This window comes from Homo sapiens, chromosome 1 (genome assembly GCF_000001405.40).
Source record: "Homo sapiens chromosome 1, GRCh38.p14 Primary Assembly".
In the NCBI taxonomy this organism is placed as follows: Eukaryota; Metazoa; Chordata; class Mammalia; order Primates; family Hominidae; genus Homo; species Homo sapiens.
In genome coordinates, this window is record NC_000001.11 from 30,886,827 (window position 1) to 30,912,611 (window position 25,785).

Here is a 25,785-nt window from a genome sequence, read left to right on the forward strand (position 1 = left end):
CATTTCTCTTCTCACTTGACCAGAAAGGGATTGCCATTCCCATTTCACAGATGGGCAAACTAAAATTCAGAGAGGTGAAGCAACTGGCTCAAAGTCACACAGCAATGGGCCAGGATTTGAACCCAAGATTAGCTGAACCCCAAAGACCATGCCCTTTGGATTGCAGAGCACACCTGCTCCTAGCCCTAATCAGTTTCCCCTACCAGAAGGCTCTCAAAAGCAGGGCAAATGTCAGAGACCAGCACCACCTCACACTCAGCTCCCTGCACAGAGACAGCCTGAAAGCCTGGGAGTGAGTAGAAATGGAGGACAAGGCGCACTCACACGACAGGTGGCCCAGCTCAGGTAGGCACCCCCTGCCCCCACCATGACTCACCAGCAGGTGCCTCTAGGAGTCTGTCTCCAGGCTCCATGACGGTCACTGCCAGCAAACACGGCAAGGGTTGCCCGCTCCTGGGGCCCAGGAGTCTCCGAGGAACAACCTGGTGTGGAGTTAGGTGTTCCCGCCCTGGCTTCCCACTCCCAAACTGGTTACCTGGTCACATCCCTTCGCCTCACTGGGCCTCGCTCTGTCCTCCTATGAAACGGGAATAATGATCCCCAACACACAGAGATACCAGCTGTCACGTGCCTAGTGGTGATAGGCAGTTAGTAGGCACTGGGACATGACACTGTGTCCCCACTCAAAGCTCACCTCCCTGAACCACCAAATCCACCCAAACGACGTCCCCACGTGCCCAGCTAGTCTGCAAAACCAGGGCTAGTCCTCAATCGCTTACCACTGCCTGAAAATTGGCTGGTTTATTTCCGGGCTTCAGAGGAATGTGTCTGTCTCCCCCTCCAATTGCTCCTGGTGGCAGTGACTGGGTCTGTGTGGTCATTTCTCTAACCCCAGGGCTCAGACTGCTTCTGGAACACAGTCAGCCTCCATCAGTCTTTGTTCAGTGAATACTGTGGGTTGCATCATCCCCCAGAGATCTGCATCACCTGCCTCCTGCTCCCAATCGCTATGGGATCCCAAGGCAGGCCCTGCTCTTCTCTGGCCTCAGTCTCCCTGTGTGTAAAACCGAGGAATGAACAAGAGTTCTCTCTGATCCCTCCAAAATCCAGCCAGGAGGACTCCAAGTGAGCTGGGAGGAGGGAAGAGAAACAGACACTGATCCCAGCATATTTTGTCACAAAATGTTTATGTAAATTATATGCAAATATGCAGATCAGTGGGCTCCCAGTGGAGCATACATTCTGGCCATTTCTCAACCAGGACTGGAAGAAAGCAGCCTTCACTGAGCACACACTAAGCACTGGACTCTACCTTCTCAGGAGCCAGTGAAATGGGCCTCCTTACTCCACAGAGGCAGAAAGCCCAGGCGACTTGCTAGAGGTCAGTGAGCTCAGCCGGAGAGTCAGGATGGGATTCAGGACTGGAGCAGGGACAGGGAGAGCAGGCAGGGTGGGACGTGGCAGTGGGAAGGGGCTGGAGGAGCACATGGAGGCCCCTAAGAGCAGAAGGATCCTCAGCCTGACCTTGGAATCACTTGAAGCCAGGTGAGGGGGCTCCAGGGACCTCGCCAGCCCTAGAGCTCTGCTGGGCTGACCCCAGCCTCCTCCAGGGAACTGAAGAGAACCTGCTGGAGTCAGCCTGAGCAGGCCCAGACCTTCCAGCTGTCCCGGGAGCCTGCACAGCTCTGACGGCTCCCCAAAGCCCTCCCCACACACATGCTGAGCATACACCCTGGGCACACACAGCACACACACACACATAACTGAAACGGCCCTGTCTGTAAGAATGTGTGTGTGTGTCCAGGCCTCTCCTCCTGAGGAGGCGGGCTGTGGTTCCCCGCACCCTCCTGTTTGCTGGGTTATTTATAACCAGCCCAAACTCACACACAGTGGAGATGCCACTCCCCGCCCCCAGCCTGGAGCAGTCCCACTGGCTTCTCGGCTGCTCCTCTTCTAGGGACAGAACAAGCCAGACTCAGATGATCTGAGCCACAGCAGCCTTGGAAGTCACCACCACCATCACCCAGATGGGAAACTGAGGCACAGAGCAAGGCATCAGACAAAAAGGCTGGAAGAAGGGTTGGCAGGGCCCTCAAAAGCCAGCCTAGGGCCACACTTGCCCCAGGACTGTCTCCAACCCAAGATGAGGCTCTGTGGGACACAGTGGGGTGAGAAAGGGAGGGAAGGAGGGAGCAGACATGTCCAAGCCCTCACCCTCCCCTCCAGAGGCCTGGGAGACACAGCAGGGACTCTGATGCTCGACTATGTGGCTCCAAATCCCAGGACAGAACTTCACCAGCTACGCGACTCTGGGCAAGTCAGTCTACCTCTCTGAGCCTCAGTTTCTTCACCTACTAAATGGGTATAGTAATAGGACTGACCTCAGGGGTTGGGAGGATTAAATAAGATGATCCAAACAAGGCTCTCAGCCCACAGTCTGACTACTTCTCAGCCTAGTGACCCAGAACAAGCTGCTTGGCTTGAGCCTCAGTTCCACCATCTGCAAATGGAACAATGATATGGCCCAGAGGGTCATAAGGACTGAAGCACTGGTTCCCACACACAGTACGTGGTCAGCACGTACAAATTCCATCCTCTTTTCCTCCATTCCCGGGGGCCCCATGGTTGCTGACCACCCCCAGATCCTCTCCTTGATGCTCCCTGTCTCCCGTCTCTGAGCATCTACTATGTGCTGAGCTTGGTGGGGGTTGTTCTAGATATTATGCCATGGAATCTTCTAAACAACTCTTCAAGGGATAAATTCCCTTCCCAGCTCTGCAGTGGGCCTTCTGCCTTGTTGAATATAGATGTTCTATAAATACTTGAGGGATGAATGGATGCAAGAATGAATGTGATCAAAAAGTCAGATAATCACAAGCGTTGGCGAGGACGTGGGGAAATCGGAACCCTCACACACCACTGGTGGGAATGTAAAACAGCACAGCCGCTTTAGGAAAGAGGCTGGCAGTCTCTCAAAATGTTAAATGGAGTTTCCATATGACTCAGTAATTCTACTCCTAGGGTATATATTCAAGAAAAATGAAAATATATATGTCCACACACCAAAAAAGGTAGCATTATTCATAATAGCCAAAAGATTGAAACCACCCAAATATCCATCAGCTGATGAATGAATAAATAAAATGTGGTATGTTCATACAATGGAATATTATTTGGCAAAAGAAAAAAAAACTAATACTGAGGCTGGGCATGGTGGCTCACACCTGTAATCCCAACACTTTGGGAGGCCGAGGTGGGAGGGTCACCTGAGGTCAGGAGTTCGAGACCAGCCTGGGCAACATGGTAAAACCCCATCTCTACTAAAAATACAAAATTAGCAAGGTGTGGTGGCACGTGCCTGTAGTCCCAGCTATTTGGGAGGCTGAGGCAGAATTGCTTGAACCTGGGAGGCAGAGGTTGCAGGGAGCCGAGATCATGCCATTGCACCCCAGCCTGGGCAACAAGAGCAAAACTCAGTCTCAAAAATAAACAAATGAACTAATACTGATACTACAGTGTGGATGAACCTTGAAACCATTATGTTAAGTGAAAGAAATTGGCCACAAAAGACCACATATTATATTATTCCATTTATATGAAATGTCTGGGATAGGCAAATCCATACAGACAGAAAATAGATTAGTGACAGCCTATGCCTGCAGGGATTGTGGAGAAACAAGGAGCAACTGTTAATGGGTACAGCGTTTCTTTCTGGGGTGATAAAAACGTTCTAAATTTAGTGATGGCTTTACAACTATGTAAATATACTAAAAACCACTGAATTAAATACTTTAGATGGGCAAGATGTATATGAGTTATATATCAATAAAGCTGTTGTTTCAAAAATAACAATGAATATGAGACTGAGGCTCAGAGAGGACAAGAAACTTGCCCAGGGTCACACAGCAGAGCCTGGACTCAAGTTCAGAGAAGCCCAGCATTCCTTATCCTGACAACACGCTTGTCTTGGCCCTGCTCACCTCCTCTCCCATTTGAACATCTTCTTACCAAGCCTCAGGTGAAGCCTCCACAGCCCCCGCCCCCAGACAGGCAAACGTTTAGTCCGCAGACCACAAGTGGGAGGCCCAGCTCAGCAACTGCCTCTTCTAGGCTGTTCAAAGGCCACTTTGTCAGGTGGGGCCAGTGGAGGGGGACAGGCTCAGCCCAGAGTCTTCAGAGACTCCAGGGACTCCAGACCCAGGCTATCTGCCGTCCCCAACCCTCGACCCCAGCATTCCAGCTGCAGCCCTCAGTGGTTCCGGATGCCCCACCCCACCCTTTGACCATGTGCCTCACCCCTGGCTGCCCTCAGGAAAAGGCATGAGGATATGTCCCTGCCAGGGAAGGGGCAGAGCCTATCAGGGTCCCAGTGGTAAAACACGCCTGAATTTTAACTCAAGTCCATCTGCCCTCTGTCCCCATGGCTGTCTAGGGCAACCCTGAGGACAGGTGCCTCTTCAGGCCCCACCCTTCACCCTGGCCCCATCTTCACCTGGCTCCCAAGCACCAGCTCCGCCCAGCACAGCTGGCAGCCGCCAAGCCCCTCGGGTGGTTTCCACTCTACTCTCTGGCAGAGGCCTGTCTGTCCTGGGCTAGGCCTGGGCTGGAGCTACCAGGCCTTTGTCTGGAAGGTGCTCGGTAGCCCCGTCTCTCCTGCCTGGCTGAACTCAGGTATGAAGCCTAAAACCCCTTAGGCCCTGTCTTGAGCCTCAACACCTTGGCTTTGCCTCCCAGACTCTGATCTCTCAGCCATTAAGAAGGGAGGAGGAGGCCAGGAGCAGTGGCTCACACCTGTAATCCCAGAATTTTGGGAGGCTGAGGCGGGTGGATCACGAGATCAGGAGTTCGAGACCCCGTCTCTACTAAAAATACAAAAATTAGCTGGGCATGGTGGCGCACACCTGTAATCCCAGCTACTCAGAAGGCTGAGGCAGGAGGATGGCTTGAACCCGGGAGGTGGAGATTGCAGTGAGCCAAGATCACGCCACTGCACTCCAGCCTGGGCGACACAGTGAGACGCCGTCAAAAAAAAAAAAAAAAGAGGAAGAAGAAGAAGGGAGGAGGCCTCACAGTGCCTTAGACTGCCAGGCAGGGACCACAGAGGATCCTGAGTGGGGAGGCCAAGAACTCTACAAGGACCCCCTGCCCCTCAGCAATGGGGTGCAGGGAGCCAAAGAAAACCCAGTGCTCACCCCCCCAACCCAACATCCTCCTCCAGCCTCCTGCAGGTCCTGCGTTCCCCAGGTATCCTGCCAGCCCCTTCTCCACACAGCTACAGGCTCTTCCTCTCCCCCACTGAGCTCAGAGTCCAAACACCTGCCAGGGCTCAAGGACCCTGAGTGCCCTGGCCCCTATCCCTGCAGCCCAGGGATAAGGCCTGGCCTCCACTCCTCATGTGTCACCTGAACGTGGCTTCCCTGAATCAAACTGCTTCAGGTCTCAGCTGACCCACCCACTCCACCAGGAATAGCTCCCTGAGCATCCCCAGGCAGGATCAGAAGCCCAGCTTCTGCCAGTAGGGACCTAGTCACACCAGCTTGGCCCCCTCCCCTGTAGGAAGCTCCACCAGGGCAAGGTTGCCCACCAGCCTTAGCCCCAGGCCCCCAGGCCCCCAGGGAATGAATGAATGAATGAATGAATGATCCTAAAACAGTCTACCAAACAGAAACCAAAGCTCTGCAGTAGACAGTGCTTGTGGGAGAGGAACTGGGCTAGAAAAGATGGACTCAAAGTTGGACTTCAGGCAAGTGGCTGTTGCTAGAACACAGTCTTGTTCCCCAAACCCAGGACGAGGATGGGTAGTGACTGCCACCTCTGTGGTGATGGTGGGCTCTCATGGCCACTCCCCCAACATTTACCATGACTAGTAGCAGCCTGTGAGCAGAGCAGTGTGCTGGACTCTGCGCCAAGTAAGCCCTAGCTCTTGCAACACCCTGTAGCACCATGGTCACCCTCCAGCTTCATAGAGGACAACACAGGCTCAGAGGACGACACAAGTATAGTGACCTGCCCAAGTTCACCCAGCTGACATGCAGAGGTCAAAGTCCAAGTCCAAGTCCATGTCAAGTCTCAGCTGATTCATCCTCCCCTGAGCCTCCCCCGGCAGGATCAGAGGCCAGCTGCTGCCATTAGGGACCGAGTCACAGCAGCGTGGCCCCCTCCCCTATAGGGAGCTCCACCAGGGAAAGGCCAGCCCAACAGCCAAGTTGGGCTGATGCCCAAACGCCCTCTTTCCACCATTTATCACGGCCATCCCCTTAGACACAACACGGGACACACATCCCTGTAAACATGGAAAGGCAAAAGGGAGGGAAGTGCTGAGGGTGGGGAAGGTGCAGGGTCAGGGGAATCGGCCCATGCAATCTCTGTGCACCTCCACGGTGCCCCAGGCAGTGTGGAATGTTCCTCCCTCCCACAGCATGACAAAGACAGTCTCACCACTGTGCCATGGTCCATACCCACCCCACCCACCAGGAGCCCCCCCCCCCCCCACCATGTCTCATGACCAAACATTTGTCAAAAGCAACACTATTGGTACCTGGGCAGGACGATTTTCCACCAGCGGGACTGTTCTGGACACTGTAGCCATTTAGCAGCCCGACCCCCACCTGGCCAATGCCAGCTGCACTTCCACTACTATGACAACCAAAAATTTCAAAATGCCCCAGGAGCCAGCACCCTTAATGCCCAGCTCACGCGTCCCCTCCTCATGGAGGCGTCCCCATCCCACCCTAGTCTCAGGCAACCACCCCTCCTCCCTGCTCAGGGCCCCAACTTCAACATCTCTTGGTTGGGCATCATTTTCCCATAAGTCAGAAATGCTCTGATCAAAGAAACAGAATCCCCCCCAGAAATCAGAATCCCCACGAGGCCCTAGTGCCGAAGACTCTGATCAGGGTTTCCCCAGGCAGGTGGTGAAATAAAGGGACCCGCGTCTCCTGGCCTCTCTGACCCCAGCTGTCAATTTCCTCAGGGGCACAGCCACACTCCCTCTCCTGCTACCCCCTAGCCTGCCGGCATCCAGAGTGTGGTAAATAACATATAACTGCATCTCCGAAGGAATCCAAGGTTGGTTTTTTAGTGCAGGGTGCGGGGGAGTGAGAAGTGTCCCTGGAGGTCAGGCAGAAAACAAAGCTCTGAGGCCCTCCACACACACACCACACACACTGCTCCTGCCTTAATCACCTCTAACGAGGCCAGATGACCAGCTGCCCCTCTGGCCTGGGCTCCTAGACCCTGGGATTAAGAGTCAGGATTAAGGACAGACATATTTTCGTAGCTCAGAGCCCCAGCAGTGTGTGTGTGTGAGAGAGAGTGTGTGATTGTGAGTGTGCGTGTGTGTGAGTGGGTGTGGGGGTAAGAGTGCGTGTGTGTGCATGAGAGTGTGTGTGTGAGTGTGTGGGGACGACAGCGTGTGTGTGGATGAGTATGTGTGTGTGTGGGTGAGTGTGTGTGGGGGAGTGAGAGAGTGTGTGGGGGTGTGTGTGCATGAGTGTGTGGATGAGTGTGTGTGGGGTGTGTGGATGAGTGTGTGTGAGTGTGTGTGTGGGTGAGAGTGTGAGTGTGTGGGGGAGTGAGAATGTGTGTGTGGGGGTGAGTGTGTGCATTGAGTGTGTGGATGAGTGTGGGGGGGTGGATGAGTGTGTGGGGGGGTGTGGATGAATGTGGGGGGTGAGTATGAGTGGGTGAGAGTGTGAGTGGGTGAGAGTGTGCGTGGATGAGTGTGTGTGGGTGAGAGTGTGTGGGTGTATGTGTGGGCTACGTGTGTGTGGGTGTGTGTGGATGAGTGTGAGTGTGGGTGAGAGTGTGTGGGTGTGTGTGGGGTGTGTGTGGGTGAGTGTGTGTGGATGACTGTGAGTGTGTGGGTGAGAGTGTGTGGGTGTGTGTGGGGAGTGTGTGTGTGTATGTGTGAATGTGTGGGCGTACACAGGCATGCACATGCACACATCCAAGCACATTCAGGGGTATTTCTGGGCGTGTGTGTCTGTCTAGGTGCATCCATGTGTGTATGCCTAGGGCTGTCTCGAGTGGCTTAGATGCCTGTGTGGGTCTGAGTGTGTCCATGTTAGCGTGGAGGGCTGTGTCTCTGAGTGGTACCTGTGCACATGGCAGTGTATGTGTGTCCCTGTCTCTGTCTCTACACGTGTGCACAGGACAAGGGTATTTGCACAGGTCCATGTTCCTCCATTTGTAAGCATGCATCTGAGCCTCCCAAGGTAGAGAGCATCTCCCAACTTCCTTAATCCACAGTGTTGCGGGTAAGCCCCTGGAGCTGAGGCAGGGGGAGGGACAGCAGTTGGGGGACTCCTGATCCCCCTGGCATAGGCTACAAACACTTTTTCCTACAAAGACACCAGGGCCCCATGCATCAGCACAGACACACAACAACATGCCATCACACATGTTGCAGGTACACGCAAACCCCTAACCCAAACTAACGTCCTAAACAGAAACATGGCCTTAGCTCCACGTGGAAAAAGGATTACCTGGCCTCACTTGCAGCCTTGCAGACCATCCCTCAAGACACAGCTGAGCTCCCTCTGGATCTGAGATTGTCCCCACAAGCCCCCCAGCTCCGCAGCTCACATGAGAATAGGATCCAGCCAGCCAGGGCTCAGCTCCCAGAGGCCATGTAGGGGCTTCAGCCCCGGGGAAGCTGTTCCACTTCTCACTGCTGAGTGACCCTCAACAGCCACACTTCATCTCTGGGTTCAGTCTCCTCATCTGAACAGCAAGGCCAGGGCTGATTCCTGGCTCTTTGCCCCAAAACTCCATTTCAGGAGGGACGGATGCAGGGAACTGTGAGTTCTGGGGCCGGGAGGGCAAGGAACTAAAGAAGAATCAAGAATCCCTCTAGCCTTGGTCCTAACTACCCCCTCAGCCCTCAAGACCCCTGTCCCCAAGGGGAGCCCTCAGGTTCTGGCCCTGGTGGGTCACAGCCAGGGACATGGGAGGTTCCAACCAGCCAGGGAGCAAGATAAGGGCCTCTAGGGAAGCAGAGCAGGGGGAGGAAGCGAGTAAGAGGAGGAGGGTGGGAGGAGGGAGGGAGGGAGGGGGGCTGAGCAGAGACGGAGGAGGAGATGGAGAGGAGGGAGGTTGGAGAGGAGAAGGTCTCCTCAAAACCGAGCCTGAGCCTCCGAGCCCACAGTCTGTCCACCCTCCAGAAAGACGGAGCCAAACAGGCTCCAGTGCACCTCTCCCCGCCTGCACCTCCATAGCTCACTGGGTGCCCACTGCTCCCTGCTGCCAGGCTCCACTTTCCTCTTCTCCCAGTCTTGGGGGTCACATGAGCTGGGGGCTGGGGAGAAAGGACCAAATGTGACAACAGGGGAGAACTAGGAGTGAAACAGATTGAGGACGTGTGAAAGCAGGGAAAAGAAACAAAGTAGCAATGTCAGAATTTGGGGAAATGTAACAAAGTACCATGTGTGAGGGTTGGAGGGGAGATGATGTAATGGGGAATTAGCAGCTGCAACAATGTATCCAAGTGAGAGCTCCAAGGTGGTAACAATGTAACCCTGAGGGGAACCAGACACTACGAAGTGAAATAACATAATTGGGCTTGGCAAAGAATCCTAACAGGTAGAAGAGGCACCTAGGAACCTAGAAGAGGGAGGCAGGAGTGAGGGGGCTGAGGAGTGGCTTACTGTGCTTGGGGGCTGGTAGGAGGGGTCATTATTGGATTCCCAGAGGAGGAGACATCTGTGCTGGGTTTTAGAGGATGTGTAGGAGTTCACTGAAGAATAAAGGAACAGTCCATGAAGAGGGAACAGCATCTGGGTAGGCATGAAGGAAAAAGAGACAATGGTATGCTCTGTGCTCAGGAGGGCTGGTAGAAGCGTGGGATGTACAGACTGGGCTTACATTTGGGAGCATTTTGGGCTCAGCATTTTGGGAGGCTGAGGTAGGTGGATCATTTGAGGCCAGTAGTTCGAAACCAGCCTGGCCAACATAGTAAAACCCCGTTTATACCAAAAATCCAAAATATTAGCCAGGCATGGTGGCATGGGCCTGTAGTTCCAGCTACTCAGGAGGCTGAGCCAGGAGAATTGCTTGAACCCGGGAAGCGGAGGTTGCAGTGAACCAAGATCACACCACTGCACTCCAATCTGGGCAACAGAGTAAAAGTCCATGCCAAAAACAAAAAAACAGGAGCGTGGGAAGGCAAAGGGATGAGGCTGGAGAAGTGCATTGAAGGCACTGACGGGAATTAATTTGGCATAGGAAATATTGGGCATATATGGGCAGCTGGGGTGGTCAAGGAAGGCTTCCTGGAAGAAGGGTGTGGGAGGAGCTGAGCCTGCATTCTGGACAGAGCAGAGACAAGTACAGAAAAGGAACATAGTACAGGGGATAGTGCCCTGCCCAGGAGTCAGGAGACAGAGCTCTTAGTCCCAGCTCAGCCATCAACTTGTTGTGTACTTTGGACAAATCATTGCACTTCTCTGATCCTCAACTTCCCCAAATGTCATGTAAGAAAGTTGAATTATAGACTCTCAGAAGATACTCATGATGACTCGAGATCAATGCTTTGGCCTCAGTGTCCCCTTTGGAACAGTGAACAATTTGGACAAGAGTATTTTCAAGGGCCCTTCCAGCTGAAATCCTCTCCAGCCATCTGATCTTTCCCCAGCCTGGGTTAGCCTCTGCCCATAGCCCCATACAGACAGAAAATATGCTGCAGAGAACAGATCCATGTGGAAGCCAGGAGCCCAAAGTCCCAAGAAAGGGCCTGCCCGACAACAGCCACACAAGTTCAGGTACCCAGCAAGGCCTGATTGGCCCTACATTCATCCTGTAGGGATACCATGCTTTACAGTTAGAAATGTACACGGCAGCATGAAGCAGTGCTTATGTACTAGATGGGACTCCAGGGGCAGGCTGCTTGGATTCAAATCCCAGCTGGGCCACTCACTAGCTCTGTGACCTTGCACAAATTATTTAACCTCTCTGTACCTTGATTTCCTCTTTTGTAAAATGAAGATTACAATGGCATCTCCCTCATAAGGCTAAGGATTGTTTATAGATGAAACATTTGGCCGAGTGTTTTGCGAGTGGCAGGCACTCAATGGGCAGAACTCAATATGTCACCTCCAAGCTCCGGCATCTCATGCTATCTCCTCACGACAAAAGGGCAGCACCCTCTACCTGCAGGACAGTACCCAAATGCCTTGGTTTGGACTCAAAGCCCACCTTGTGAGCCAGTGAGCTCTTCCATGTGGAGGACCTGTGGGGTTCAACTGTTCAGAACAAGAACTGAGGCACAGGGCCAGACACCCACCAGGTACCTGGTGACTGTGTGTTAAAGGCATGAAACACACTCTCATCAGAAAGGGCGGCCCCTACAGCAGTGACCCCTCGCCGCCAAGGGAGGCGTGTTCCCCTCTCCACATGTGGTAGCTCCCTGATATACTGCGACCTTCCCCACTTCTCAGACTTTGTCCATCCTAGTCCCCCTATCAATGTGCTGCCATCTGTCAAGGCCTGGTACAAAGGACGCCTCCTCCATGAAGTCTTCCTAGTCTTCAGGGTCTAAATCAACCTCTCATTACCCCACAGAATTGAGAGCTTCCTAATGTCAGGGACCAAGCTGAGCCCCCTGGGGGTCCCTAGTGCTCGGCTGAGACCAGACACAGAGGGTCCATCAGTAAACAGTAGCACAGTGGGGATAAGGATCCAGGTACTGGACTCCCTGCCCAGCCCCCAGCTAGCTTGGAACTGATGATCATGTTCCAGGGTTCAGGGAGGGTGGTGGTGCCCAGCGTGATGGGCAAGGAAAGAGATGCCTCCTACCCTGGCCCAAGAGGAACCAGAGACAAGCCACGTGAAGGGAGCAGGCCTCCCCTCCCCACCCAGGCCAGCCGTCCTGCCTGCCCTTCCCCACTAAGCCAACTCTAGGTCAGGCCCTGTCTCTGGCCTCAGGTCTTTCTGATAGTTCCTCAAATCTGAAGACTACAAGGGCCCCTGGGTCACCATTCACTCTTCCCATTTAACAGACGTGGAAGTGGAGGCCCAGAGAGGGAACAGGCTGCCTGCTACCACTTGACAAGCTAGTGGCAAATTCACCTCTGAGACACAACCACCTTGGGGAATGTATAATAATTAAAAGTCATCACCCAGCAGCAGGTTCCTTTTAACCATCTGCACCTCCCACCACTCCTCACCACCACCTAACGGGTCAGGGATCACTGGATCTGTCTGACAGAAGAGGAGACTAAGGCTGAGTCAAGAGTCACTTAGCCAAATCCACCCACTTCTTCGTTTCGTTGTTGTTGTTTGAGATGGAGTCTCGCTCTGTTGCCCAGGCTGGAGTGCAGTGGCACAATCTCAGTTCACTGCAACCTCCACCTCCCAGGATCAAGCAATTCTCCTGCCTCAGCCTCTGGAGTAGCTGGGATTACAGGTGTGCACCACCATGCCCAGCTAATTTTTGTATTTTTAGTAGAGATGGGGTTTCACCATGTTGGTCAGGCTGGTCTCGAACTCCTGACCTTGTGATCTGCTCGCCTCGGCCTCCCAAAGTGTTGGGATTACAGGCATGAGTCACCAAGCCTGCCTTGTTGTTTTTGAGACAGTCGCGCTCTGTCACCCAGGCGAGAGTGCAGTGATGCGATCTCGGCTCACTGCAACCTCCGCCTCCCGGGTTCAAGCAATTCTCTGCCTCAGCCACCCAAGAAGCTGGGATTACAGGCACCTGCCACCGCCTGGCTAATTTTTGTGTCTTTAGTAGAGATGGAGTTTCACCATCTTGGCCAGGTGGGTCTTGAACTCCTGACCTCATGATCCACCCGCCTTGGCCTCCCAAAGTGCTGGGATTACAGGCGTGAGCTACCTCGCCCAGCCAAAATCCACCCACTTCTAATGGCAGAGCTGGGGCTCAGCCTGTCAGGGAGGAGGGGTAGGGCTTCCTCCCTGCTTCTCTTCAATTCCCCCCTCGAGACCTCACAAAAGCACATGCACCTGCCACCAGTAAACCTGCCTGAAGCAAGACATGGCCAGACAAGACATAGGACACACACGACACAACTGAACACTGACAGCCCCCTTGCACAGGGCTTCATATACAGCAGGTGCTTAGTAAATGTCTGCTGAGTGAGCAACGCAGTCAATCAAGACAGGCGCCCATGCAGGAGCCCACACGTCTGCCTGATGCCCTTGTGTGGGGAAAAGAAAGAGATCAAAATGGAGTTTCTTATGTCTTCCTTTTCTACATAGACACAGTAACAGTCTGATCGCCCTTTCTTTTCCCCACGCTCTTGAACGAGCATCTCCATAAGCACCCAGGCTCCAGGCTCAGAGTCCTGCTAACTGCCCCACTGTGGGCACATTGCTCAACCTCTCAGGGCCTCTGTGCCCCCATCTGTAAAATGGGGTAACCATGCCTGCCTCACAGGGCCATAGTGAGGACCCACTGAGATAAAGCATGTTAAGCACTTAGAACCACACCTAGCACATGACATGCAGCAGTAAGTATTGGCCGTTATCTTTCTCATCATCTTCCTCGTCATCATCTGTGCTTGTGTCTGTCTCCCTGACACAGGGAGCATCTTGAAGGCAGGAACCAGGTAAGATGCAGCTGCAGACACCCCCCAACAATGGCATCCAGGCCTTGAGGAGGGGGCATTAAGCAAGGGGTGGATGACAGAGGGTAAAGACTGACACAGGCACCTATACCCCAACTGTGGGCCTGGACAGGGAATAGTGTATGGCTTCTGTCAGGTAAAAATGCCCTTCCCCTGCTCCCAAAACAACAGTCCACCTCCCCCCAGCTCTCCAGGAGCCTTGCCTACTCAGGCCCTGCATCCCCCACGGAGCACCCCCAAGCCCCAGCCCAGGGAGGGGGACAGGTCTAATGAGCCGCCCACAGCCCCCTGGTGCCCGCAATCGAATTGGCAATCAGTTTGCTGCAATTAGATTTCCCAGATCCCGCTGGTGATTGATTCTAAATTACCCTCATTAAAGTCTGGGCTGGCAGGCAGGGATGGGGGAGGGCAGGATGGATGGGGGGGTCCTAGCTGGCAGTGCAGGGGGTACAGGAATCTCTAGGGTCGCCTGGGCCAAGGCTAACCCCAGGGTGAAGCAGCACCAGACAGCACCCTGGAAGCCCATGGCCCATCCAAAAGCAGGATGAAGGCCCAAGTCAGTGTTATCCCCAGTCCCAGCTGCACCCCCAGAAAACCCTGGCTAAGTAGGGGATGTGACGACAAGATCAGATGGGGCTCCAGGGTAGGAGAAGGGGCAAATGAACACCAGGCTCCACCAGCTCCTGGCTGTGTGTGCTTTGGCAGGTGGCCTAACATCTCTGAGCCTTCCTCTAAATAAGGGGAATCCCACCAGCCCCTCAAGAGTGGTGGGAGGCTCAGTGGGACCATCTAAGGCTGGAGAGCCAGCCCCAATCCATTGGCAAGGCCCCAGGCTGTGGCTGGGCCATCAGCTGTGGGATGTCAGGCTGTAGGGCTGGCCATCTCTCTAGGACTCTCCACCCCTGAGATCCTGCGTAAACATCAATAGTCACCTACTCTGGGCCAGGGCCCATGTGACAGACAGAACACAGCCGAGATGCTCCCTGGCTGGGAGGAAAATGGAAAGCACCCAGTCTCACCAAGTCCTGGGCTCAAGCTGCAAATAACAAGGCCTCTCTGGAGTTCCAGGAGTGGAAGGGCCTGAAGAGTCATCATGCAGGATGGACTGCAGGCTGCTCAACAGCTCTGGAGAACCAGCCCCCAGAAACTCAGCACCACGGACCCTAGAATGTGCTTCCTCTCATCTGGCTTAAGTCCTGCTGGCTCCAACTGGGAGTCCGGCCCTTGGTCTCCTTCTAAGGGTACCCCCACCCCCAGAGTTCTCCTTCAGGCCATCCATGATTATTCAAACTTAGTTCCCCCTCTCTCCAAAAGAAAACCCTGCTCCTCACCCCCAAGCAGTAGTTCTTCAGTAAGACCCAGAGAGGGACAGAAAAAGAACAAAAACCAAGGCAGGTGAATGGAAAAAAAACAAGATTTGCAGGAGCAGCCCGCTCCTTATTTACTTTAGTACTTTATTTACTTTATTACTTTATATTACTAATTCTCAAGCAACCCTGAGGTCCCATTTTAAAGAAGAGGAGACTGCGGGTTCAGAGAGGTTAGGTGAACTCACCAAGGTCACACAGCAGGAATGTGACAAAGCCAGGATTTCAACCCTGAATCAGCTGGCTCCAGGATCCCTACTCCTTCGATGACTTCAAGCTGCCCCCTCAGGCTTGGGACACCCCAAAACAGACATAGCACCAAGGCCAGGGGTGGGGAGAAGGCAGGCCTCAGCCAGCTGGGGCAACAGGGGTTGTAGAACCCTCTCCACCTGGTATAAAAGGCCAGCATAGGCGTTTCCTGCCCTCCACCCACAGCAGCCAGGTAAAAAAAGGGCCAGATCATTTGTTGGGGCCACCGCCACCCCCACTGCTGGGCCCTCAGCCATGGCCGCTCAGGCTCCCCCTGTAATCACGGCTTCCTGTTTGGCGCTGAGACTGGGCTTGGCCAGTGGGGGAGGGGAGTGGCTGCCCCTCTGGCCATGGCGGGAGGGGGGCCGGAAGTGAAGGCCACCAGGCCTCCTGGAATCTGGGGAGGCTGGGAGCCAAGGGGAGTGAGGGTGTGGGGGGTGCCATCAACAAATATTTACCAAGAGCCAGCCCGATGTTCCCAGGATGTGATGTTATGGAGGACAGAGGCCTGGAGGGGCCAGTGAGACAGGTCAGGAAGTCCAGGACCCTGCTCCCTGCTGGGACAGGGGTTTGGGGGGATGATGGGAGCAAGGGCCTGGGGCCTGGGCAGCTCCTGGCTCTGGCCACCCTGTCCCTTGAGACACAAAATCAAAGGGCTCCAAGCAGCTGGGCTGTAGTCCAGAGCCACAGTCCCTCGGTCCTGCCCAGATGTGGTGGTGGCAGTGCCTTGGCACTCAGACTGAAGGCCCGCCCGATGCAGCCCCCTGGCGCCTCCCAGCCCACGGGCACATGCCTTGCATGCAGCAGGACTCTGCCAGCCTCACTGTCCCCAACCCACCTACACAGGAAAGGACACAAGCCCCTGCCTGGGCTCCATAGCTCACAGTCCCGGCTTCCTTCATTCCTTTATTCCCTCATTCATTCATTCATTCCTTTGAATCATTCACTCGAGCCTGCACCAAGCACAGAGTGGTCCCTGGGGGTTCAGTGAGAAAACATGGCAGCCACGAGCCTGCCCAGGAAGCTCAAAGTCTATCAAGAAAGCACTGACATCACTCCTGACAGCTGGGGGACCCCCACCAAGTCACACCCCATCTCTAAGCCTCAATCACTATGAGGCCAGAGAGAATCTTGGCTGCAATGGGGCCAGTGCTCAGAGATGGAGCAGGAGGAACACGGATTTGGCCTCCACACACTTTCTAAGGGCCAGAGGGGGTTAAAGGCAGGCCTGGTCACCTCTGCAGACTCAGTCCCCAACACTGGGGGCATCTGGCACATATCAGGGCTTATGGTGGCTTTTTAGACCCCTCTCATCCTGAGATTCCAAACATTTCCCCTCTCCTGTGCCCTGACCACATGACCCAGACATAAACTCCCTTCCGCATACACATGTGTGGGCACACACACAAATGTACACATGCACGCACACACAATCTTGCTGACAGCCCTTCGCAGTTTATAAAGCTCTCTCTCCCCACCCCATACACCCCCAGTGGCCCTCAGAGTAGCTGCTTTTATGGGCTACAGAGCCTTGGGAGGCGGTAGATGAGGAAGAGCCCTGGCCAATCCCTCCCACAGGGTGAGACAGCATCACTGACCTCCAGGGCTGTGGGAGAATTAAGTGAGAAAAGATATGGGACCAACCCCCTTCCCAGCCCCACCCCGCCAGAAGAGCAGGCATTTACTAAACAGTAGCTAATGCAGACATAATCCAGGGGGTAGGGAGGCCCCAGAGAGGTAAAGCAGCTTGCCTAAGATCACACAGCAAGAGGGGGTAAATTTAGGACTGCAGCCCAGTCCCATTAGCCTGTCAGGCCCTGGCTCATACTAGCTCTGCCACTTCTGGCTGTGTGACTTTGAGTAAGTCACTGAGCCTCTCTGTGCCTCAGTTTTCTCCTCTGTAAAATGGGGGTTCTGGCTGGGGGTTGTGGCTCACAACTGTAATCCCAGCACTTTGCGGGGGCCGAGGTGGGAAGATCACTTGAGGTCAGGTGTTCGAGAACAGCCTGGGCAACATGGTGAAACCCCATCTCTACTAAAAATACAAAAATTAGGCAGGTGTGGTGTCAGGTGCCTGTAATCCCAGCTACTTGGGAGGCTGAGGTGGGAGAATCGCTTGTACTCAGGAGGCAGAGGTTGCAGTGAGCCAGGATCATACCACCACACTCCAGCCTTGGCGATAGAGACTCTGTCTCTAAATAAAATAAAATACTAAAATGAGGATTCTAATAATTCCTACATCAAAAAATTATTGTAAGGATGAAATAAGCCGATACATGTAAAGTGCTTGGTGGGCGGGGCTCTCGGTAAACATGACCTCTCTCTCCCACTTGGGATGAGCCCCCCCTCGCTCTCCCCACCACTGCCACCACTCCTGCTGCCCCGGACCCCCCAGGGACCCTATGCCCGCTTGTATGAGGTGGGAGGAGCCACTGGGTTTCAAAAGGCCATTTTTTTTGTTTTTTGTTTGTTGTTTTCTTTCACTTTTTTTTCCAGCACAGCTCACCTCGCACCAACCCCCAACACACTGAACTCACAGCTGGAGGCATTGTGCTCACTCCTCCCCAGAGAGCAGGAGGCTTCAGGTTCAAATCCCAGCCCTGCCTTGAGGATAGAGTCACAGCCCCCAGTAGTGATTCTAAAAGCCAAGTATTTGTTGCCCCCAGTTGACAGGTAAGAAAGCTGAGGGTCAGGGCAGGTTACAGCCTGCTACTGTCATGTGATGACCACTTTCATTGCTTAGCTCAAAACCCTCCTCCTCCAGGAAGCCTTCCCTGACCCCATCCATGCTCCCTCCCAGAAAGGTCCCATCTCCTGAGAGCTCACTACGTGGCAGGTGTGCTCGGTCTACTCAAGCAGCTCATTTCCAAGTCACAACATCCCTGTGAGGCTGACACCATTACTGTCCGCATTTTATAGACAAGGACTTTGAGACAGAAAGAAATCCCTCACTGGAAATCACACAGCAGGTGTCTGTCCCCAGAGCCCCTGGTACCTTGGGAGCTAACAGGCAGCATACAGCTGTGGTGTCCCTGTGCCTGTCCCCCAAATGCTGGAAGGGGAGATGGTTCACCCAAGAGCCTGGCCCAGAACAGCCCAGGGGCCCCCAACTTTCCATTTTTTTGGTGAGGACTATCTCATCCTGGAAACCCAAGGCTCACAGTCACCCAGGGGAGCCTGGAGGGGAGAAGAGCAGGGATGCTTGAAACAGGGTGAGGAAGGAACGGAAACCACCAGGCCTGGGGCTGAGCTTCAAAAGAATTCCCTACTAATTCCCCCACCCCACCCCACCCCCACCCCCACCCCCATCCGTACTCTCTCTCTCTCACAAACACACACACACACACACACACACACACACACGTCTCCCACCCTTCCACTCCCCACCCCTCCTGCCTTCCCAACCACAGTACAGCAACTTTGTAAAAGAACAAGAAATCCATATTTGTTGAGCCCTTAGTAGGTGCCAGCCACTGGGCTAAAAGCTTTCCAAATTAAGCCCTTCCATTCTCGCATTGTCTCCATTTTAAAGAGGTGGAAACTAAGGCACAGAGAGGTTAGGTAACTTTCACAAGGTCACACAGCCACAAGGTAGTGGTCTCCCATCACTGGGAGTATTCAAACAAGACTAACACCTAAGATCCCTTCCAGCCCTGGACTTTTGAAAGAACATGTTTCAAAAGCTAAAATGTTCAGGATCCTCACACTCCAAAACTTTGAGTGGTGACTTAAGTACAGTAGCTGAGGTGGCCTTAAAGGCAGATGTCCCTCAGAGTCCTGGTAACTTGGTCTGTCAGAAGAGGGACTCCTCAAAGGAGATGCCAGGAGACAGACACAGACACACAAACACACACACACACACACACTGCAATTCACCATCTGCAGTGTGAATGAGGCCTGCTCTCCCTGCTATCCCCATGCTGAAAGACACGAAGACACACACACACACACACACACACACACAAAGGCTGGCAGGTGACCCAAGGGTCATCATGTCCCTGCCCTTCCCTGCCCTGTGCCAGCCACCGCTCATCTACCAAGGCCACCCCTGGAGCTTCCCTGGCTGGGGCTCTTCTGATCTAACCTCAGTCCCTCCTGCTGCAGGCACTGCCCTCTCCCTCTGGTGCGGAACCCCGGCAACCAGGTACCACCCATTAACCCTTTTCCTCCCAAGTCAGATGAGGACAAGAGGGATGATGCCCCTCCTTGACAGCTTGACCCATGGGAAGATGTGAGGCCTGGAGGACACTCCACTTCCCACCACCTCACCAGGCGCCCCAGTACCTGCCCTCCCCCAGGCCCCACCCACCATTTCAGCCTCTGGGCTCAGACTCCCAGGGTCTGCTTGATCTGCCACCCAACACTGGGTCTGAGCCACACCTCTCAGATTCAGGTCACCCGTGTTGCGAGGCCCTACTGTGCATGAGGCTATTAAATGCTCTCACTAAGTCCTTCCACCACCTCGTGGAGTATGAATTATTAGCCTTATTCAGCAAGGAAAGTGGCCTGCCCAGCGCTCCACCTGGCCTCCAAGTCTAAAGCTTTCTGTCCTGAGCCCCTTTCATTCATGTGCACACCACATGACTCCTGAGCTCCTTCTCAGGACACTCGTCAGTCATCCCATTGAATTTTTGCCCTCTGAGGAAGGGGTCATTAGCCCCATTTCACAGAGGGACAACCAAGGGTCAGAGAAGTAAGAGGACCTGCCCAAACCATGCCACGAATCGGCGGGGGTAGCAGGATTGGAACCCAGGGTTGTGTGATTCCCAAGCCTTTGATTTTAAGGATGGTCTTTCAGAAATTTGGCTGAGAAGGCGACCCCAGCTGCTAGGGTGTGCTGGGTCTCTATCCCTCCCAGGGACCTCTTCCTCTCACCCCACTTAGGGGAGAGCTGGGAATGAGACATCCTGGCCAGCAGGCACTTCACACAGGTCAGCCCTCAACACTTCCCCTCCCTCCAGCTGACAGCCCCCTAGATGGGGAAGGCTGAGGAGGGGCCTGTCCATCCAAGAAGCAAGCTTGGAGCCCCTGCCTGTCCTCCTCCTGTCTTACTGACTGGCCCACTGAGGCTGGGAAAGGGAAGGAACTTGCAGAGGGCGGCTGGGCACCCAGTGTTGCTTGAGAGGCCTGGGTCCTTTTCAGCCTGGGGGATGCAGGACAGCATAGCTCCTGGAACCAACCTGGGAGGCTGGACCTAGAAATCCCCAGCCCGCCTGAGCCAGAACCTGGACACTTGTCCAACAAGAACTCATCTGGGGCCTGGATCCCTCAAAGGGGGATGAGGTCCTTCCTTTCTCTGCCATCCCTGACGGAGCTGGGACCAAGCATGGCTGCTACGGTCACTCAAAGGGACACTCAAGGGTCACCTCATACATACCATCACCTCCACCTGCACATGCTTGGTTCCCCTCAGGGGTCCTCGTCCTATGTCCAGGGTCCCCCATGCACCTGCATGCACACGCTGCTATGTGCACTCACACACATTCATGGGTCCAAGCACACGCCCACCAGAGGTCTTTCACACACACACCCTCACCCACTGCAGCCACACACGGCCATAGCCAACAGTGGCCCAGCCAGGCACAGGCACACATCATGCACAATGGGTCACCCTCCCACGACCACGGACGGGAGGGCACGCTGGCATCCACCCATGTGGCAGACACATCCTTCACCTGCACACGCCCCACAGGTCCCCGCACCCCTCACTGAGTTGGCCACACACGCCCACACACGCCCACACACAGGGTTACCCTCACTCCCCCCTCAGGTCACCTTCACCAAGTCACCCTCCACCTCCACCTCCCCTTCCCGGGCCCACTGCCCTGGCCGGCTGCCGCGACCCTGGGAAGAACCAAATGCACACCCTCCCCTCGGAAGGGGAACCGATCCGATTCCCAAAAAGTGGCCATGGTCTGGGCACACCCACGAGGCAAAAGCCAGGCTCACTCCCACCCCAAGACACACCCAGCCGGGACGGCGACCCCCAGCCCGCCGCCGGGTCCTTCTCGCGCCTCCCAGGCCAGCGCAGGGGTCCCGCTTCGTCCCCGGGGAGACAGTTCCCGGAGCCACTGGGAGGTGGGGGAACAGGGCTGAGGACCCGCGATCGGGTTCCCTCCCGGGATTCCCTCTGGGGAGGGGTCCCAAAAGGAAGGAGAGATGCGCCCCCCGAAGATGACCAGCGGCGGGGGCGGCCTCTCCCCGCGGATGCCAGCTAGGGGGAGATTCCGGAGGGGGGGGAGCAGGGTGCAGAAAGGGGCGCTCGGGGGAGGGTCGAGGGGTGGCAGGGACCGCGGCCCCGGGGGAAGCAGCCGGGGGGGAGGGAGCGGGGTCCCGGAGGGGGGGTCGCGGGCGGGGACCGGCACCCCGCGCGGGGGGCGGCCCCGGGGAGCCGTGGCGGGGATCCGGGCGCGTGTCACTCACCCCCGCGGCGCGCCCCGCCAGCAGCAGCAGCAGCAGCGGTGGCAGGAGCAGCCCGCGGGCCCCGGGCCCGGCCGCGGCCCCGGCCCCGGCGCCGGCCCCGTGGGCGGCCCCGGCACGGTGCGGCGGCCCCGGCTTCATGGCGGCGGCGCGGGCGCGGGCGGCGGGCGGCGGGCGGGCGCCTTTGTTCCCGAGGCGCGGCGCGCGGGGCGGCTGCTTGGCGGCGGCGCGGCCCGGCGGCTGGACCGACGCGCTCTAGGCTCGCGGGCTCCCGGCTCGGCCGCCCGGCTCCGCCTCGCAGCTCCGCGCCCACAGCGGCCGCGCCCGCAGGAAGCGTGCGCCGCCGCCGCCGCCGCCGGGCCGCCCCCAGCGCGGGCGGAACGGAGGAGGGGCCCGGGGCGGGGCGGGCCCCAGTGCGCCCCCCGCGGGGCTCCGCGCCCTCTGACCCCAGTCCCAGCCCCCGCCCCCACCCAGAGGGAGCCCCGCGCTGCCGAGTGGGCACCCGGACACCTGAGTGAGCAGCCGGCCTCGCCGATCCCGGGGCTGGAGGTCGCGGAGCCCGCCGGACGCACCTCCGCGGCCGCCGTGCTAGGTAGAAGGGAAGGGTCCCGCGTGGGATACCAGGGCCCGGGCCTGGCTCCCTGAAGTCGCCGAGCGGAGGGGTCGCATGGGCGTTTTCATCTACAGCCTCCCCCTGTGGCTCCACGCACGTGTCTCTTCCTGGACTCCCATCGTCACCCTCACACACTCAGCCAGTCCACCCAGTGGGCCAGAGGTCATCCAAGACCACGGGCTTTCATGCCTCCAGGACACCCAGGGGCTGTGTGACCTCAGATCAGGGCCCGGCCCTCTCTGGGCCTCGGTCTCCCCAGGGGACCATGGGGGTGGTCACTTCTGGGCCCTGTCACTGTGGATCTGCAGAGGAAAAGCCACGCAGACCTGAGCGCAGCTGCTTCCACACCAGCTGTGCGCCTCCAGCAAGGCCCCCAGTTCTCTGAGACTCAGACCCCCCATGGTTGAATGGGACCACCCCCTCCAGTGCAGGATGGCGAGAAAAGTACATCTCTGAGTGGCAGTCTCTAGCGCTGGTGGTCTTTCTACCCTGTGTGGTCACGGTGCCTTTTCCCCCTTCACCTTCATCCCCAGCGGCATACCCCATGCTGTTCTTACTTCTCCAAGTCTCCAATGGCGTGTTAGCTCCAGCGGGGGCAGGGTTTTGTGTCTGTCTTGTTCACTGCTATGTCCCCAGCACCAGCACAGAGCTCGGCATGACATCGATGCTCAATCCAAATTTGCTGAATCAATGAATGTGTTTCCCATTTACTGGGGCTCAAAACCAAGTGTTTTGGGGCAAGATAGGGGAGAGTGAAACATTTCTGGAACCCTGACCACATGCCAGGTGCCCAGCGCTTTCATGTGTTATATCATTTCTCAGGAACCCCATAAGGTCGGTCTGTCAATATCTTCACTTCTTAGGTGGGGAAGCTGAGAGCCAGCAAGAAGAGGTTATTTGCTGATGACAGCTGGCTGGACGTCTCTACCCTCAGTTACTCTCCTCTCTGGCCCCTGTGTCCCAGCACCCAGCTTAGAGCCTGCCATTAGAAAATAGGAATGAAATCAGGCCGGTCGTGGTGGCTCACGCCTGTAATCCCACCACGTTGGGAGGCCGAGGCGGGTGGATCACGAGGTCAGGAGATCCTGGCCAACATGGTGAAACCCCGTCTCTACTAACAATACAAAAAAATTAGCCGGGCGTGGTGGCGGGCGCCTGTAGTCCCAGCTACCAGGAGGGTGAGGCAGGAGAATGGCATGAACCCGGGAGGCGGAGCTTGCAGTGAGCCGAGATCGCGCCACTGCACTCCAGCCTGGGCGACAGAGCGAGACTCCTTCTCAAAAACAAAAAAAAAAAAAAAAAGAAAAGAAAAGAAAATAGGGGAACGAAATTGAGTTGAAACTGGAACAATTCCCTCAAGGAAAGGGGAACCAAAACCAGGATGAATGGAGGGGCAGGCCTTGAGGAAGAGACTCTGGGGGACCAGCCATGGGTTTTTGGTGTTGGGGGTAACTGTACTTGTCCTGCAGGGCCCTTGGGAGGAGGACCAGGGGACAAAGGTCAACTCAACATAAAGTAGAGATAAATTAGAAGGGGCTCCCCAGGAGGGAGGGAGAGCCCAGTCCCTAAAGGGTATGAAAGGCAAGCTCACCACCCTTTGACAGGGATCCTGGACAGGGAAGACAGGGAGACTTTCGAACTAGGAATTCTGAGGTCCCAGCCTCTGAAAATTCAATTCTCAAATCTTTTGGCATGACATCAATGCTCGATCCAAATTTGACTGGCACCTTGGGGAGATGGGCAGGGAGGCTGATGGGGTGCAATAGGTGGGAAACTGGTTTCTGTTGAGGTAGCACAGCTTGGAATTGAAGAGCTCTGGCTCTGGGTCGGCCAAGTATCTGGGTTCAAATCCCAGTTCTGCCAGTTATGAGCTGTATTGTGTTGGATGTGTGACTTAACCTCTCTGAGCCTCAATTTCCCAACTGTAATATAGAGATAATGACCACGCAGAGTTCATTCATTCATTCATTTAGCAAGCATAAATTGGGTGCCTGCTGTGTGCCAGGCCAGGTACCAGGTTGTGAGGATTACATGAGCTCTTCCCTGCCATCGTAATGGAGTTCAATGAAGGTGGCTGGGAATGAAGCTTACAAAGGAAGGGACTCAGATGTAGGGATAACATCATCCTTCAGAGATGCTGAGCAGATCCCAGGAACATACCAACCCTGAGGCGCTCCCAAAGGGCCAGCAGGGTTAGGGTGGGGATTATGAGGAGCCAGATGTCAGCTGGCCACAGACAGCAGTGGCAATTCTAAGAGGCAGTAAGTATCCTGTCTTGAGAGGTATTCAAGGCTCGGAGAACTATCTAGCAGGGAGACCATTAGGATGGTTTCCATGAGTAAGATGGGCAGTGAGCATGGCCCATCTTCAGAGGTTCCTGCCAGCTCTGAGACTTCTGGAAGCAGCAACTCCACTTCCCTGACATCCTGGGGAAGAGGTGGGGGCGGGGCAGTGGAGAATCTTTGGTCTGGACAGGCCAGGAGCGCCACCTGCTGCTCTTCAAAGACACTGGTCACAGCCAGAACTAAGACAGGTCTGGGCCCCTGAAGGTCCTTCTCATCTTGCTCCCCCCGGGTCCCAGGTCTCCCTGGGGTTCACAGATGCACACATTTCCTGCCCTCAAGCACATGGGTCATCTGCACAGTCACCCTTGCCCAGGCCTCCTTGTGCATTGGAGCCACATCCCCACATACTCAGGGTCTCCCTTCATAGCACCATAACCTCACCCACAGGCACCAGCTGCTGCCGCCTCCTGGCACAATAGTCACAGCCCCCTCCGGCCTTTAGAATACACACTGCCTCCTCTGGGAAGTCTTCCTGATGTCCTCTGGGTGATCAGGCCTGGTCCTGTCCTGCCGGCATCCTGATCACACTCATCCTGCACTCCCCACCCTGCTTTCAGTCCCTACTGTCTGTCTTGCTCAAAAGTGGGAGCATTCAGTATCCCAAATGAACAGTAGCTATAGAAGGGCCCAAGTGGAGCTGATTATGGGCCAGGCACTGCTCTATCAAATGCACACTCACATTAGCCCCATTTCCAGATGAAAAACCAATACACAGAGAAGATAGGAGATATGCCGAGGCACCACGACTGGCAGTGAGAGCTGAGATCCTGACCCAGGCCAACAGTTAAACTGCAATGCCAGGCCCAGTGGTGTATTGGGAGGCGTTTGATGAATGAATTAGAGTCACCGAGGGGATTCACACAGTCACACACCAACATGCAGACATACTCATGCAGTCTGGCCCCTGGGGAACCCCACAAGGCACGCCTAGTGGCTACATCTCAACCTTTCCACCTCACCCCCACCCCAGTCAGAGCCTTCTCTGCCCTTGACAGGGCCTCCTAGCTCTAACCAAGCAGCAGAGGGGTGGGGACGCCTCAGCGGCATCTCTGAACTCCACTCAGGTGAGCCTAAGATGCCTTATTCAGAGTGGCACGCCCAGGCCTGACACAGAGTGGGTGCTCAGTAGCTGTCACCTGACTCTACCTGTCCCCCAGGGGATTGGCTAAGACAACCAGCTCTCTGGACCTCAACAGTCCCATGGCATC

At 55.5% G+C, this 25,785-nt stretch overlaps 1 protein-coding gene across 3 annotated transcripts in view, besides 5 other annotated features; it reads right to left on the reverse strand.

The window, feature by feature from the left end:
- Window positions 1-22,909, reverse strand: part of SDC3 (syndecan 3) — a 40,270-nt gene extending 17,361 nt beyond the window's left edge. Inside the window, exon 1 of one of the 3 annotated variants that reach the window (XM_011542463.1) lies at window positions 22,790-22,909. In XM_011542463.1, the coding sequence (XP_011540765.1) occupies window positions 22,790-22,894 (105 nt within the window). In that variant the 5' untranslated portion in view covers window positions 22,895-22,909. Of the gene's footprint in view, window positions 1-779; window positions 1,686-21,622; window positions 21,933-22,789 lie in introns of those variants that run through there. The other 2 variants (NM_014654.4, XM_011542464.3) reach the window with 2 other exon arrangements.
- Window positions 1,643-1,702: an enhancer, noted in NCBI's record as "active region_635". NCBI's record gives its function as "activates an Ori minimal core promoter by ATAC-STARR-seq in GM12878 lymphoblastoid cells {active_cell/tissue: GM12878}" and the evidence as "EXISTENCE:reporter gene assay evidence [ECO:0000049][PMID:35858748]".
- Window positions 1,883-1,942: an enhancer, noted in NCBI's record as "active region_636". NCBI's record gives its function as "activates an Ori minimal core promoter by ATAC-STARR-seq in GM12878 lymphoblastoid cells {active_cell/tissue: GM12878}" and the evidence as "EXISTENCE:reporter gene assay evidence [ECO:0000049][PMID:35858748]".
- Window positions 4,034-4,749: an enhancer, noted in NCBI's record as "H3K27ac-H3K4me1 hESC enhancer chr1:31363707-31364422 (GRCh37/hg19 assembly coordinates)". NCBI's record gives its function as "activates a minimal SCP1, AML or CMV promoter by ChIP-STARR-seq in naive H9 embryonic stem cells {active_cell/tissue: H9 hESC(naive)}" and the evidence as "EXISTENCE:reporter gene assay evidence [ECO:0000049][PMID:30033119]".
- Window positions 8,930-9,689: an enhancer, noted in NCBI's record as "H3K27ac-H3K4me1 hESC enhancer chr1:31368603-31369362 (GRCh37/hg19 assembly coordinates)". NCBI's record gives its function as "activates a minimal SCP1, AML or CMV promoter by ChIP-STARR-seq in primed H9 embryonic stem cells {active_cell/tissue: H9 hESC(primed)}" and the evidence as "EXISTENCE:reporter gene assay evidence [ECO:0000049][PMID:30033119]".
- Window positions 21,887-21,976: a silencer, noted in NCBI's record as "silent region_563". NCBI's record gives its function as "represses an Ori minimal core promoter by ATAC-STARR-seq in GM12878 lymphoblastoid cells {active_cell/tissue: GM12878}" and the evidence as "EXISTENCE:reporter gene assay evidence [ECO:0000049][PMID:35858748]".